The sequence below is a fragment of the Homo sapiens genome, chromosome 1 (genome assembly GCF_000001405.40).
Source record: "Homo sapiens chromosome 1, GRCh38.p14 Primary Assembly".
NCBI lineage: Eukaryota > Metazoa > Chordata > Mammalia > Primates > Hominidae > Homo > Homo sapiens.
This window is the reverse complement of record NC_000001.11, coordinates 49,001,184-49,014,268: the sequence shown is the minus strand read 5'-3', so window position 1 is coordinate 49,014,268 and position 13,085 is coordinate 49,001,184. Positions and strand designations below refer to the sequence as shown.

The 13,085-nt window shown below is 41.3% G+C and overlaps 1 protein-coding gene across 10 annotated transcripts in view, besides 1 other annotated feature; it reads left to right on the top strand.

Moving 5' to 3' along the window:
• The window catches only part of AGBL4 (AGBL carboxypeptidase 4), a 1,501,444-nt gene that overhangs the window by 1,009,686 nt on the left and 478,673 nt on the right, over window positions 1-13,085 (top strand). The window lies entirely within an intron of this gene.
• Window positions 7,928-8,521: an enhancer, noted in NCBI's record as "NANOG-H3K27ac-H3K4me1 hESC enhancer chr1:49471420-49472013 (GRCh37/hg19 assembly coordinates)". NCBI's record gives its function as "activates a minimal SCP1, AML or CMV promoter by ChIP-STARR-seq in naive H9 embryonic stem cells {active_cell/tissue: H9 hESC(naive)}" and the evidence as "EXISTENCE:reporter gene assay evidence [ECO:0000049][PMID:30033119]".

The following is a 13,085-nucleotide window of genomic DNA, read 5'->3' as shown; positions in this document are numbered from 1 at the left end:
TCTCAGAAAACTGATAATATAGGATTCAGGAAGCCATTTCCAGTCAGGCTTTCAGAAATGGAGTAACCTTAGTTGACAAGATTCCTTCTACTTCATTTTAAAAATACTTATACAGCTCAGTCCAGTCCTGGGATGTGCACATGGAGAGAAGGGGGAAGAACGGAATAGCACACAATCAGTGAAACCACTTCCTCAGGGTTTTTTTATTGCATTAGAGAGAAACAAGACTTTTAACATTCCTAATATTGTGTTAGAAAACACAGTATTGTCCTTATATTATAAATGTGTGGGTCCATCAATAAGGACAATATAATATAAAAGAGGACAAGAAAGGGGTGGACAAATAGAAATGGCTTGCTAGAGAATGTAGACCTTAAGTTAAATCTCAAAGCATGAAAGAATGATCCCATTTTTAGGTATAAGGAACCTGGACGCCATGTACTTCCAAACTGTGAAACTAAGGCTCAGACTTATCTAGGGCCTCATAGCTGGAAAGTGGCAGGGTTAAGTGCCCTAGTTCCCAGCCTAGTGATCTGTGCTGCTTTCTGATGTAAGCAATTAGGGGAAGAATGAGTGGCTAGAATGGGCAAGAACTACCCAGAGAGGTGGGAATTGGGGAGCAGCAAATAGAATACAGAAGAGGTGGGGATAGGCAGAGCATAATGGTAGGGACAATAAATGAGGAAACTCAGAGAAGCCTCTTCTGGGACAGATGGAGCCTATAAACTTTTTAAATTGGAAGGTTGCCTGGGTATTATGAAGCCCCGTTCCTTCCAACTTTGTAAAATAAAGGGCTCCTGAAGGAGTATCTATTCTGCCATTGTTTTCTTGCTCACCAAGACTCTCAGTGTCCTCCAGAGAAGCTTTTGCTTCTGCTGCAACCAGCTTCCCATTAGAATTCCTGGACATTGCTTAGTGTTGCTTAGTGTTCTATATTGAACCCATGATGTGTAAAGAAGATACCAAGCTTGTGGCAGTCACATTCTGTGAGGTTTCCTGGACACCCCCAGGATACCACAGGCAAGTCATATTGCCACAAATATGTCATCTACAAACACTCATCTCTTTGGTTATTTGCTGTCATGCTCACTGTCTTATTCTGTTTCCTGTTGCTGTAATTGAATACCTGAGACTGGGTAATTTATAAGGAATAAATTCATTTCTTACAGTTTTGGAGGCTGGGAAGCCCAGGGGCATGGCACCAGCATCTGCTCAGCTTCTGGTGAGGGCCTGCTTGCTGCACCATACCATGGAAGAAAGCATCACCAGGCAGGAGGGCTTGTGAGAGAGCTGACCTGGCTTTTATAACAGATCCACTCTCATGATAACTAATTCACTCACATGATGACTTATTAATAATCTATTAACACATAATGAGGGCTCATGCCCTCATGACCCAATTATCTCTTACAGGTCCCACCTCTTAATGCTGTTACATTGGGGATTAACTTTCAACATGAGTTTTAGAGGGGACAAACATTCAAACCAGAACATTCACTTTCTACAGTTCAGCCAAAGGGGCTCTTGGATCTTTCACTCAGGAGTTTGCTTTGGAACTGAGGGCAAATGTTTAAACTGAAAGAGCAAATAGAATGGTAGAATTTCAGGTACAGGTCAGGAATAGTTCCTGCTTATGGATAACATGTCACTTCCTTAATCGGACCAAAAACCACAACAGTTTTGAGGACTCTTCTCTGGGAATAGGCCTATTTTCTAGAGCTATGGGTTTGGATTATGCTGTAAGAGTGAATTGGAACTCCCTAGCTCTCTCTTCTTATCTTATGACAACTACATGCTCTTATGTTAAGTATGTACCACAGTGCCTAGTATATAAGAGACTCTTAATAGATGTCTGTTCTCTTCCTCACATACTCCCCAACCACCTGCTCATAATTCTGTCTTTATGTTTTTTGGTCTTTGTCTCTCTCTTTCTTCTCCCTCTCTGTCTCTGGGTCTCTTTCTCTGTCTTTGTCTCTATATTTTCCCTGCACACAGCACCTTTTTAAGAGAGCAGATAGTTAGCTCTGAAACCCAGGCTCACTGTTATCCGTGTCATCTTTATATTCGAGCAAAAAGACAAGAAAATTGTACTCTGAACGGCCTCCACACAGAAAGGGAGTCACAGGCTTCCCTGTAATCTGCCTGCTTTTCACACCATTGTACAGTAGCCCTCCCTTATACTTGGAGGGGGTGGGGGAGTTCCTTTTTTTTTATGTAGCTTTTTTTTTTCTTTTATTATTATATTTTAAGTTTTAGGGTACATGTGCACATTGTGCAGGTTAATTACATATGTATATATGTGCCATGCTGGTGTGCTGCACCCACTAACTTGTCATCTAGCATTAGGTATATCTCCCAATGCTATCCCTCCCCCCACCCCCCACCCCACAACAGTCCCCAGAGTGTGATGTTCCCCTTCCTGTGTCCATGTGATCTCATTGTTCAATTCCCACCTATGAGTGAGAATATGCGGTGTTTGGTTTTTGGTTCTTGCGATAGTTTACTGAGAATGATGATTTCCATTTTCATCCATGTCCCTACAAAGGACATGAACTCATCACTTTTTATGGCTGCATAGGATTCGATGGTGTACATGTGCCACATTTTCTTAATCCAGTCTATCATTGTTGGACATTTGGGTTGGTTCCAAGTCTTTGCTATTGTGAATAGTGCCGCAATAAACATATGTGTGCATGTGTCTTTATAGCAGCATGATTTATAGTCCTTTGGGTATATACCCAGTAATGGGATGGCAGGGTTAAATGGTATTTCTAGTTCTAGATCCCTGAGGAATCGCCACACTGACTTGCACAATGGTTGAACTAGTTTACAGTCCCACCAACAGTGTAAAAGTGTTCCTATTTCTCCACACCCTCTCCAGCACCTGTTGTTTCCTGACTTTTTAATGATTGCCATTCTAACTGGTGTGAGATGGTATCTCATTGTGGTTTTGATTTGCATTTCTCTGATGGCCAGTGATGGTGAGCATTTTTTCATGTGTCTTTTGGCTGCATAAATATCTTCTTTTGAGAAGTGTCTGTTCATGTCCTTTGCCCACTTTTTGATGGGGTTGTTTGTTTTTTTCTTGTAAATTTGTTTGAGTTCATTGTAGATTCTGGATATTAGCCCTTTGTCAGATGAGTAGGTTGCAAAAATTTTCTCCCATTTTGTAGGTTGCCTGTTCACTCTGATGGTAGTTTCTTTTGCTGTACAGAAGCTCTTTAGTTTAATTAGATCCCATTTGTCAATTTTGTCTTTTGTTGCCATTGCTTTTGGTGTTTTAGACAGGAAGTCCTTGCCCATGCCTATGTCCTGAATGGTATTGCCTAGGTTTTCTTCTAGAGTTTTTATGGTTTTAGGTCTAACGTTTAAGTCTTTAATCCATCTTGAATTGATTTTTGTATAAGGTGTAAGGAAGGGATCCAGTTTCAGCTTTCTACATATGGCTAGCTAGTTTTCCCAGCACCATTTATTAAATAGGGAATCCTTTCCCCATTGCTTATTTTTCTCAGGTTTGTCAAAGATCAGATAGTTGTAGATATGCGGCGTTATTTCTGAGGGCTCTGTTCTGTTCCATTGATCTATATCTCTGTTTTGGTACCAGTACCATGCTGTTTTGGTTACTGTAGCCTTGTAGTATAGTTTGAAGTCAGGTAGTGTGATGCCTCCAGCTTTGTTCTTTTGGCTTAGGATTGACTTGGCGATGCGAGCTCTTTTTTGGTTCCATATGAACTTTAAAGTAGTTTTTTCCAATTCTGTGAAGAAAGGCATTGGTAGCTTGATGGGCATGGCATTGAATCTGTAAATTACCTTGGGCAGTATGGCCATTTTCACGATATTGATTCTTCCTACCCATGAGCATGGAATGTTCTTCCATTTGTTTGTATCCTCTTTTATTTCCTTGAGCAGTGGTTTGTAGTTCTCCTTGAAGAGGTCCTTCACATCCCTTGTAAGTTGGATTCCTAGGTATTTTATTCTCTTTGAAGCAATTGTGAATGGGAGTTCACTCATGATTTGGCTCTCTGTTTGTCTGTTGTTGGTGTATAAGAATGCTTGTGATTTTTGTACATTGATTTTGTATCCTGAGACTTTGCTGAAGTTGCTTATCAGCTTAAGGAGATTTTGGGCTGAGTCAATGGAGTTTTCTAGATATACAATCATGTCGTCTGCAAAGAGGGACAATTTGACTTCCTCTTTTCCTAATTGAATACCCTTTATTTCCTTCTCCTGCCTAATTGCCCTGGCCAGAACTACCATCACTATGTTGAATAGGAGTGGTGAGAGAGGGCATCCCTGTCTTGTGCCAGTTTTCAAAGGGAATGCTTCCAGTTTTTGCCCATTCAGTATGATATTGGCTGTGGGTTTGTCATAGATAGCTCTTATTATTTTGAGATATGTCCCATCAATACCTAATTTATTGAGAGTTTCTAGCATGAATGGTTGTTGAATTTTGTCAAAGGCCTTTTCTGCATCTATTGAGATAATCATGTGGTTTTTGTCTTTGGCTCTGTTTATATGCTGGATTACATTTATTGATTTGCGTATATTGAACCAGCCTTGCATCCCAGGGATGAAGCCCACTTGATCATGGTGGATAAGCTTTTTGATGTGCTGCTGGATTCGTTTTGCCAGTATTTTATTGAGGATTTTTGCATCAATATTCATCAAGGATATTGGTCTAAAATTCTCTTTTTTGGTTGTGTCTCTGCCAGGCTTTGGTATCAGAATGATGCTGGCCTCATCAAATGAGTTAGGGAGGATTCCCTCTTTTTCTATTGATTGGAATAGTTTCAGAAGGAATGGTACCAGTTCCTCCTTGTACCTCTGGTAGAATTCGGCTGTGAATCCATCTGGTCCTGGACTCTTTTTGGTTGGTAAGCTATTGATTATTGCCACAATTTCAGCTCCTGTTATTGGTCTATTCAGAGATTCAACTTCTTCCTGGTTTAGTCTTGGGAGGGTGTATGTGTCAAGGAATTTATCCATTTCTTCTAGATTTTTTAGTTTATTTGCGTAGAGGTGTTTGTAGTATTCTCTGATGGTAGTTTGTATTTCTGTGGGATCAGTGGTGATATCCCCTTTATCATTTTTTATTGCGTCTATTTGATTCTTCTCTCTTTTTTTCTTTATTAGTCTTGCTAGCAGTCTATCTATTTTGTTGATCCTTTCAAAAAACCAGCTCCTGGATTCATTAATTTTTTGAAGGGTTTTTTGTGTCTCTATTTCCTTCAGTTCTGCTCTGATTTTAGTTATTTCTTGCCTTCTGCTAGCTTTTGAATGTGTTTGCTCTTGCTTTTCTAGTTCTTTTAATTGTGATCTTAGGGTGTCAATTTTGGATCTTTCCTGCTTTCTCTTGTGGGCATTTAGTGCTATAAATTTCCCTCTACACACTCCTCTGAATGCGTCCCACAGATAATGGTATGTTGTGTCTTTGTTCTCGTTGGTTTCAAAGAACATCTTTATTTCTGCCTTCATTTCGTTATGTACCCAGTAGTCATTCAGGAGCAGGTTGTTCAGTTTCCATGTAGTTGAGCGGTTTTGAGTGAGATTCTTAATCCTGAGTTCTAGTTTGATTGCACTGTGGTCTGAGAGACAGTTTGTTATAATCTCTGTTCTTTTACATTTGCTGAGGAGAGCTTTACTTCCAAGTATGTGGTCAATTTTGGAATAGGTGTGGTGTGGTGCTGAAAAAAATGTATATTCTGTTGATTTGTGGTGGAGAGTTCTGTAGATGTCTATTAGGTCCGCTTGGTGCAGAGCTGAGTTCAATTCCTGGGTATCCTTGTTGACTTTCTGTCTCGTTGATCTGTCTAATGTTGACAGTGGGGTGTTAAAGTCTCCCATTATTAATGTGTGGGAGTCTAAGTCTCTTTGCAAGTCACTCAGGACTTGCTTTATGAATCTGGGTGCTCCTGTATTGGGTGCATATATATTTAGGATAGTTAGCTCTTCTTGTTGAATTGATCCCTTTACCATTATGTAGTGGCCTTCTTTGTCTCTTTTGATCTTTGTTGGTTTAAAGTCTGTTTTATCAGAGACTAGGATTGCAACCCCTGCCTTTTTTTGTTTTCCATTTGCTTAGTAGATCTTCCTCCATCCTTTTATTTTGAGCCTATGTGTGTCTCTGCACGTGAGATGGGTTTCCTGAATACAGCACACTGATGGGTCTTGACTCTTTATCCAATTTGCCAGTCTGTGTCTTTTATTGGAGCATTTAGTCCATTTACATTTAAAGTTAATATCGTTATGTGTTAATTTGATCCTGTCATGATGATGTTAGCTGGTTATTTTGCTCGTTAGTTGATGCAGTTTCTTCCTAGTCTTGATGGTCTTTACATTTTGGCATGATTTTGCAGTGGCTGGTACTGGTTGTTCCTTTCCATGTTTAGTGCTTCCTTCAGGAGCTCATTTAGGGCAGGCCTGGTGGTGACAAAATCTCTCAGCATTTGCTTGTCTGTAAAGTATTTTATTTCTCCTTCACTTTTGAAGCTTAGTTTGGCTGGATATGAAATTCTGGGTTGAAAATTCTTTTCTTTAAGAATGTTGAATATTGGCCCCCACTCTCTTCTGGCTTGTAGGGTTTCTGCCGAGAGATCCACTGTTAGTCTGATGGGCTTCCCTTTGAGGGTAACCCGACCTTTCTCTCTGGCTTCCCTTAACATTTTTTCCTTCATTGCAACTTTGGTGAATCTGACAATTATGTGTCTTGGAGTTGCTCTTCTCGAGGAGTATCTTTGTGGCGTTCTCTGTATTTCCTGAATCTGAACGTTGGCCTGCCTTGCTAGATTGGGGAAGTTCTCCTGGATAATATCCTGCAGAGTGTTTTCCAACTTGGTTCCATTCTCCCCGTCACTTTCAGGTACACCAGTCAGACGTAGATTTGGTCTTTTCACATAGTCCCATATTTCTTGGAGGCTTTGCTCATTTCTTTTTATTCTTTTTTCTCTAAACTTCCCTTCTCGCTTCATTTCATTCATTTCATCTTCCATTGCTGATACCCTTTCTTCCAGTTGATCGCATCGGCTCCTGAGGCTTCTGCATTCTTCACGTAGTTCTCGAGCCTTGGTTTTCAGCTCCATCAGCTCCTTTAAGCACTTCTCTGTATTGGTTATTCTAGTTATACATTCTTCTAAATTTTTTTCAAAGTTTTCAACTTCTTTGCCTTTGGTTTGAATGTCCTCCCGTAGCTCAGAGTAATTTGATCGTCTGAAGCCTTCTTCTCTCAGCTCGTCAAAGTCGTTCTCCATCCAGCTTTGTTCCGTTGCTGGTGAGGAACTGCGTTCCTTTGGAGGAGGAGAGGCGCTCTGCTTTTTAGAGTTTCCAGTTTTTCTGTTCTGTTTTTTCCCCATCTTTGTGGTTTTATCTACTTTTGGTCTTTGATGATGGTGATGTACAGATGGGTTTTTGGTGTGGATGTCCTTTCTGTTTGTTAGTTTTCCTTCTAACAGACAGGACCCTCAGCTGCAGGTCTGTTGGAATACTCTGCCGTGTGAGGTGTCAGTGTGCCCCTGCTGGGGGGTGCCTCCCAGTTAGGCTGCTCAGGGGTCAGGGGTCAGGGACCCACTTGAGGAGGCAGTCTGCCCGTTCTCAGATCTCCAGCTGCGTACTGGGAGAACCACTGCTCTCTTCAAAGCTGTCAGACAGGGACATTTAAGTCTGCAGAGGTTACTGCTGTCTTTTTGTTTGTCTGTGCCCTGCCCCCAGAGGTGGAGCCTACAGAGGCAGGCAAGCCTCCTTGAGCTGTGGTGGGCTCCACCCAGTTCGAGCTTCCCCGCTGCTTTGTTTACCTAAGCAAGCCTGGGCAATGGCGGGCGCCCCTCCCCCAGCCTCGCTGCCGCCTTGCAGTTTGATCTCAGACTGCTGTGCTAGCAATCAGCAAGACTCCGTGGGCGTAGGACCCTCCGAGCCAGGTGTGGGATATAATCTCGTGGTGCGCCGTTTTTTAAGCCCGTTGGAAAAGCACAGTATTCGGGTGGGAGTGACCCGATTTTCCAGGTGCCCTTCATCACCCCTTTCTTTGACTAGGAAAGGGAACTCCCTGACCCCTTGCGCTTCCCGAGTGAGGCAATGCCTCACCCTGCTTTGGCTCGCGCACGGTGCACGCACCCACTGACCTGCGCCCACTGTCTGGCACTCCCTAGTGAGATGAACCCGGTACCTCAGATGGAAATGCAGAAATCACCTGTCTTCTGCGTCGCTCACGCTGGGAGCTGTAGACCCGAGCTGTTCCTATTCGGCCATCTTGGCTCCTCCTCCCTTTTTTTTTTTGAGACGGAGTCTCACTCTGTCGCCTAGGCTGGAGTGCAGTGGTGCAGTCTCGGCTCACTGCAACCTCTGCCTCTCAGGTTCAAGCAATTCTCCTGCCTCAGCCTCCTGAGTAGCTGGGATTACAGGCACACACCACCATGTCCAGCTAATTTTTGTATTTTTAGTAGAGACGGGGTTTCACCATGTTGGTCAGGCTGGTCTTGAACTCCTGACCTTGTGATCCACCTGCCTCGGCCTCCCAAAGTGCTGGGACTCAGGGGTTATGTTCTGAGACCCTCAGTGAATGTCTGAAACCATAGATAGTACAAAATCCTATATATACTATGTTTTTTCCTATCATGCATGCCTATGATAAAGTTTGATTTATAAATTGGGCATAGTAAGAGATTAACAACAATATCTAACAGTAAAATAGAACAATTATAACAATATACTGTAATAAAAGTAAAATAAGGGTTACTTGAATACAAGCACTGTGATTCCAGGACAGTCAATCTGATAACCAAGATGGCTACTCAGTGACTAATGGGCAGGTAGTGTATGGCTACGTCAGACAAAAGGATAATAATTCAAGTCCTATGTGGGATGAAGTGGGATGAAGAGGGATGGTGTGAGATTTCACCATGTTATTTAACAGCCCACAATTTAAAACTTATGAATTGTTTATTTCTGGAATTTTTTATTTAATATTTTTGGACTGTGGGGAACTGAAACCATGGAAAATGAAAATGGATAAGTAGGGACTACTGTATGGAAAAGTTTCTCTCTAACTTGAAATTTAGTTTCTATGGGAATTCAGAGTTGAATGTGACTTTCAATTTTGTGGTTTTGATAAATAGCCTGCATTTATCAACAGATAGGTGATATGATTTTTCAACTAAATATTCTTGGTTGGTTTTTATTAGATGCTAGTTATAGTGGAAAATGCAGGGTTCAAGGTCTGTGACCTGGGTTCCAGTCTTGGCTCTGCCTATACCCATTCCCATGTCCCCCAGTATTACCATAAGAAGTTATTTGGACTGCAAGGTGAGAAACAGTGCTCATCAAACATCTTGCTCTAAACTCGTTCCAGTCTTATTTCCCTCTAACGTCACCAGGCATGCTATACTCCATCCCAAACTGCTCACTATATTCAAAGGTCAAGGTATATTTCATATACATATTGTGGGCCTTGTACAATTGGTCCATCTGCTTTTTCTGAGGTGAAGTTGTCTAAGAATTTCTACTCATGGTTCAGGACCCAGATCAAATGTCCCCCTTACTTCAAGGCTCCACTAATTCCTCAGGAAGATTCAGGCCTGCCTTCCTCTGTTTCTCTCAGTGCTTTGTGCCTCTTTTTAATCCAGCATTTTATGCCTAGTATTATCTTTGTTCCCCTTTCTCCCTGCTAGATTGTGAACTAATTATGGACAAGGACTGGATCTGATTTATCACTGTGTCCCCAGTGCCCAGCCCAGAGCTTGGTATAGATGAGATGTTCCCTAGAAGTTTTTGGAATAATACCATAGGGGCTGCGACATATTCATTGAGCACCTGCTCTGGGCCAGCTCTATGAGAGATAATTTTTATATGCCATTTCATTTTATTCAGCCCATTCAGGCTGGTGCTCTCCCTAAACATTATCCCTTTAATATGCCTATCATACCTGTAATGCCATACGTAATCCTCAATCAGGACTTTATCTCTTGATGATCTGTTTCCTGACTCTATCTTGGGGAATGCCATGTGTCCAACACTAGGAGCCGCTTACCAGTTGGATTTGTTCAGCTCATATTGAGAGTGAAAAAATCCCAGAAACTGGACAACAAGAGTTCTGCCAAGAAAGCTCTCATTTTATTTGGAGGATCCCATATAAAGGTGTTAGAGTTATGCGGAGTAAGAGAGGGAGGCTCAATGAAGGCCCAGCCCTTGAGATAATGTGGAAATGAGATGTGAATCTTTTGAGTTGGGGCCAATTAGCACCCAGTTTAAATGACAGCAAAAGGGACTCATTAGACTATTCGGAGAGTCTGGAATTTGATCAAATTTGGTAAGAAACCAAAGTCCCAGTGGGAAGCTAGAGAGATAGATGTCTGACCATGTCTGGCTCCAAGAGCCTTGTAGGGAACCAGCAATGGCTCCTGTTTGGGTGATATTACTAAGGGGATTCATGTGCAGAAGATTTTGGACAGGAAAGAGGTGATTTCCAGAGATTATTTTGACAAAATTCAACAGAACTAGTATCTAAATATGGACCTGGCTCTCCAGAAAAGAGAGATGGCTAAAACAACAGCTGTATCTACCCTAAAAGAAAGCACCCAGTCTAGTGTGGGAGGCAAGACTCATACACGAGTAACTGTGAGGAAAGGTAAGAAGAGCCATGCTGTGAAAGGATCATTGATAAGGGGCTGTGGGAGTTCAGAGAGGGAGATCACGCCTACCTGAGCTAAAGTGTTGTTTGCAGACAAAGTTACTTAAAAGCTCCTAGTACCATGCTAAATTCATAGTAGGTAGCCAATAAATATACATTCTCTTCTTTCTCGTCTTCTCCCCATATTAAATCTTTGAACTTTATTTTTATTTTATTTTATTTATTTATTTGTATGTATGTATTTATTTTTTTGAGATAGAGTTTCGCTCTTGTTGCCCAGGCTGGAGTGCAATGGCGTGATCTCGGCTCACTACAACCTCTGCCTCCTGGGTTCAAGCGATTCTCCTGCCTCAGCCTCCTAAGTAGCTAGGATTACAGGCATGTGCCACCACGCCCAGCTAATTTTTTTGTATTTAGTAGAGACGGGGTTTCACCATGTTAGTCAGGGTGGTCGTGAACCCTTGACGTCAGGCGATCCACCTGCCTTGGCCTCCCAGAGTGCTGGAATTACAGGCGTGCACCAACGTGCCTGGCCTCAACTTTATTTTTAATGTTTCATCAAGTCATTCATTCTTTGGGATTTTTCTTCACTTGCTTCCATGCCATAAAACAAGGTATGTTCTTCTGTGACAGAAAAATATTCAGAAAATGACCTTGCTTCAGTCCATGATGGGCCTGAGTCAAAGCTGAACCAAGGAGGTAGGCCCTAGTCCAACTAAGCCTCTGCTCCTGGTCTATACACAACCCTGCAGAGCATCTTACATGCATCTATGCATGCAAAAGTCTATTTTTATTTCTAAAATTCTGCTTCCTGAGTGGAGTGGGAGTTAAACTTTATATTTCTTTGATGTTCAATACTGAATGGCTTATGGGAACCCTGGCAGAATAGTTTCAAATAAGCATTTTAATGTAGAATAAAGGTCAATGTGCTGGAATTTGAAACCATTAATCCTTTTGCTCTTAAGGAAGACTGCACTTTAACAGAATAAATAACAGATTAAATTATAAGAGTTCTTGAAATTCCAATAAGAAAAAATACACATTACATTGTTGAGAATTGAAACCGATGAGACCTTAATGTTCTCTCCCTTGCTCTCCTATTTTTGGTTGCCAAGATTTAGAAGGTAAAGAGAAATTGTTCTTTTAATTTTCTATTGTTTTGAAGGTACAGAGAATGTTTGAGTCTCTGAAGGTTAAGGGATCAATTATATTGGAAAATAAGCCCTTAGTTTTACGATAGAATAAGTGCATCATCACAGCCTGGTGAACAGAACCTCCATGCTAATTATTTCAACTTCCAGTGAGCAAGGCTACAGAAAGGGGCACAGAAAACCAGCCATTAAAGGGGTCCAACAAACTCTGCCCATGTTAGTCATCCTAGGTGACCATTCAAGATCTAGATCAAATACTGCCTCCTCTGAGAAGGCTACTGTTATTTCTCAGTCAGTGTTTATGACCCTCTGCCTCTGAACTTACATAGAATGCTGCTTATACATCTATTTTTGCTGGTGTTTTCCATGATTGTTACCATGTCTGTCTTCTTGCTCAATTATACGTAATATTTGAGTTTCTTTGTAGTAAAAAGAAATATCACTTATTACACTCTAGCTATGTCCTAGACATTAGGCTAAGTATCTTAAACATAGTACTTAATGCAATATTTACCACAACCCTATAGTGTAAAGACGATTATCTTACTTTACAGATGAAGAAACAGAGAGTTAAGGGAGTTAGCTAATTTGCCTCAGGTTCCAATGGCAGGGTACTGGTAAAGCCAAATTTCTAATCCTAGCCTATTCTAATTGTTATATATCATACCCTAGAGGTTTGAATTTATCCCAAGGACAAGGAGCATTACTGACGGTGTTTAAACAAGGAAGTGATATGGTCACACTTAAATTTAAGAACTTTCTCTGTGGCCAGAGAGACTGGTATGGGAAGACAAATGAGGAGACTGTCATAGTAATCTTGGCTAGACATGTAGGAAGCACCACGGCAGTGAGAATTGAGATGTTAAGGAGATATTCAGGACTTAGAGCTGACACCACTTGGTAACCACCTGAAAGAGAATTAGGGTTGGAGTCAAGGAGGGCTGGTGTGTAGTTTGTGATGTTACCCATAGTGATGAGAAGCACAGGTCACTGCAAAAGTGTTCATGGAGAGGACCCTCCTACCAAAGAAATGACAAGAATCTTCCTGCCCAGTCCCTGAGTGTTCATAACTTCCTGAACTTGCATTCGAATGTTCCCATTTTATAGGCGAGAATACCAACAAACAGAAGTTAAGAACTTGCCCAAGTTATTTTATGAACTCTGGCATATAATTAGAGCTAAATAACTGCTTGTCAATTGAAGATTTCAAGATGATATTAGCCACTTTAAGAAGCCATTATCTAAAGGGTCATGTTATAACTTTAACACTTTAATTCCTCTTTGAACTCTTTAAAAAGCAGAAAGTACAAAAGACT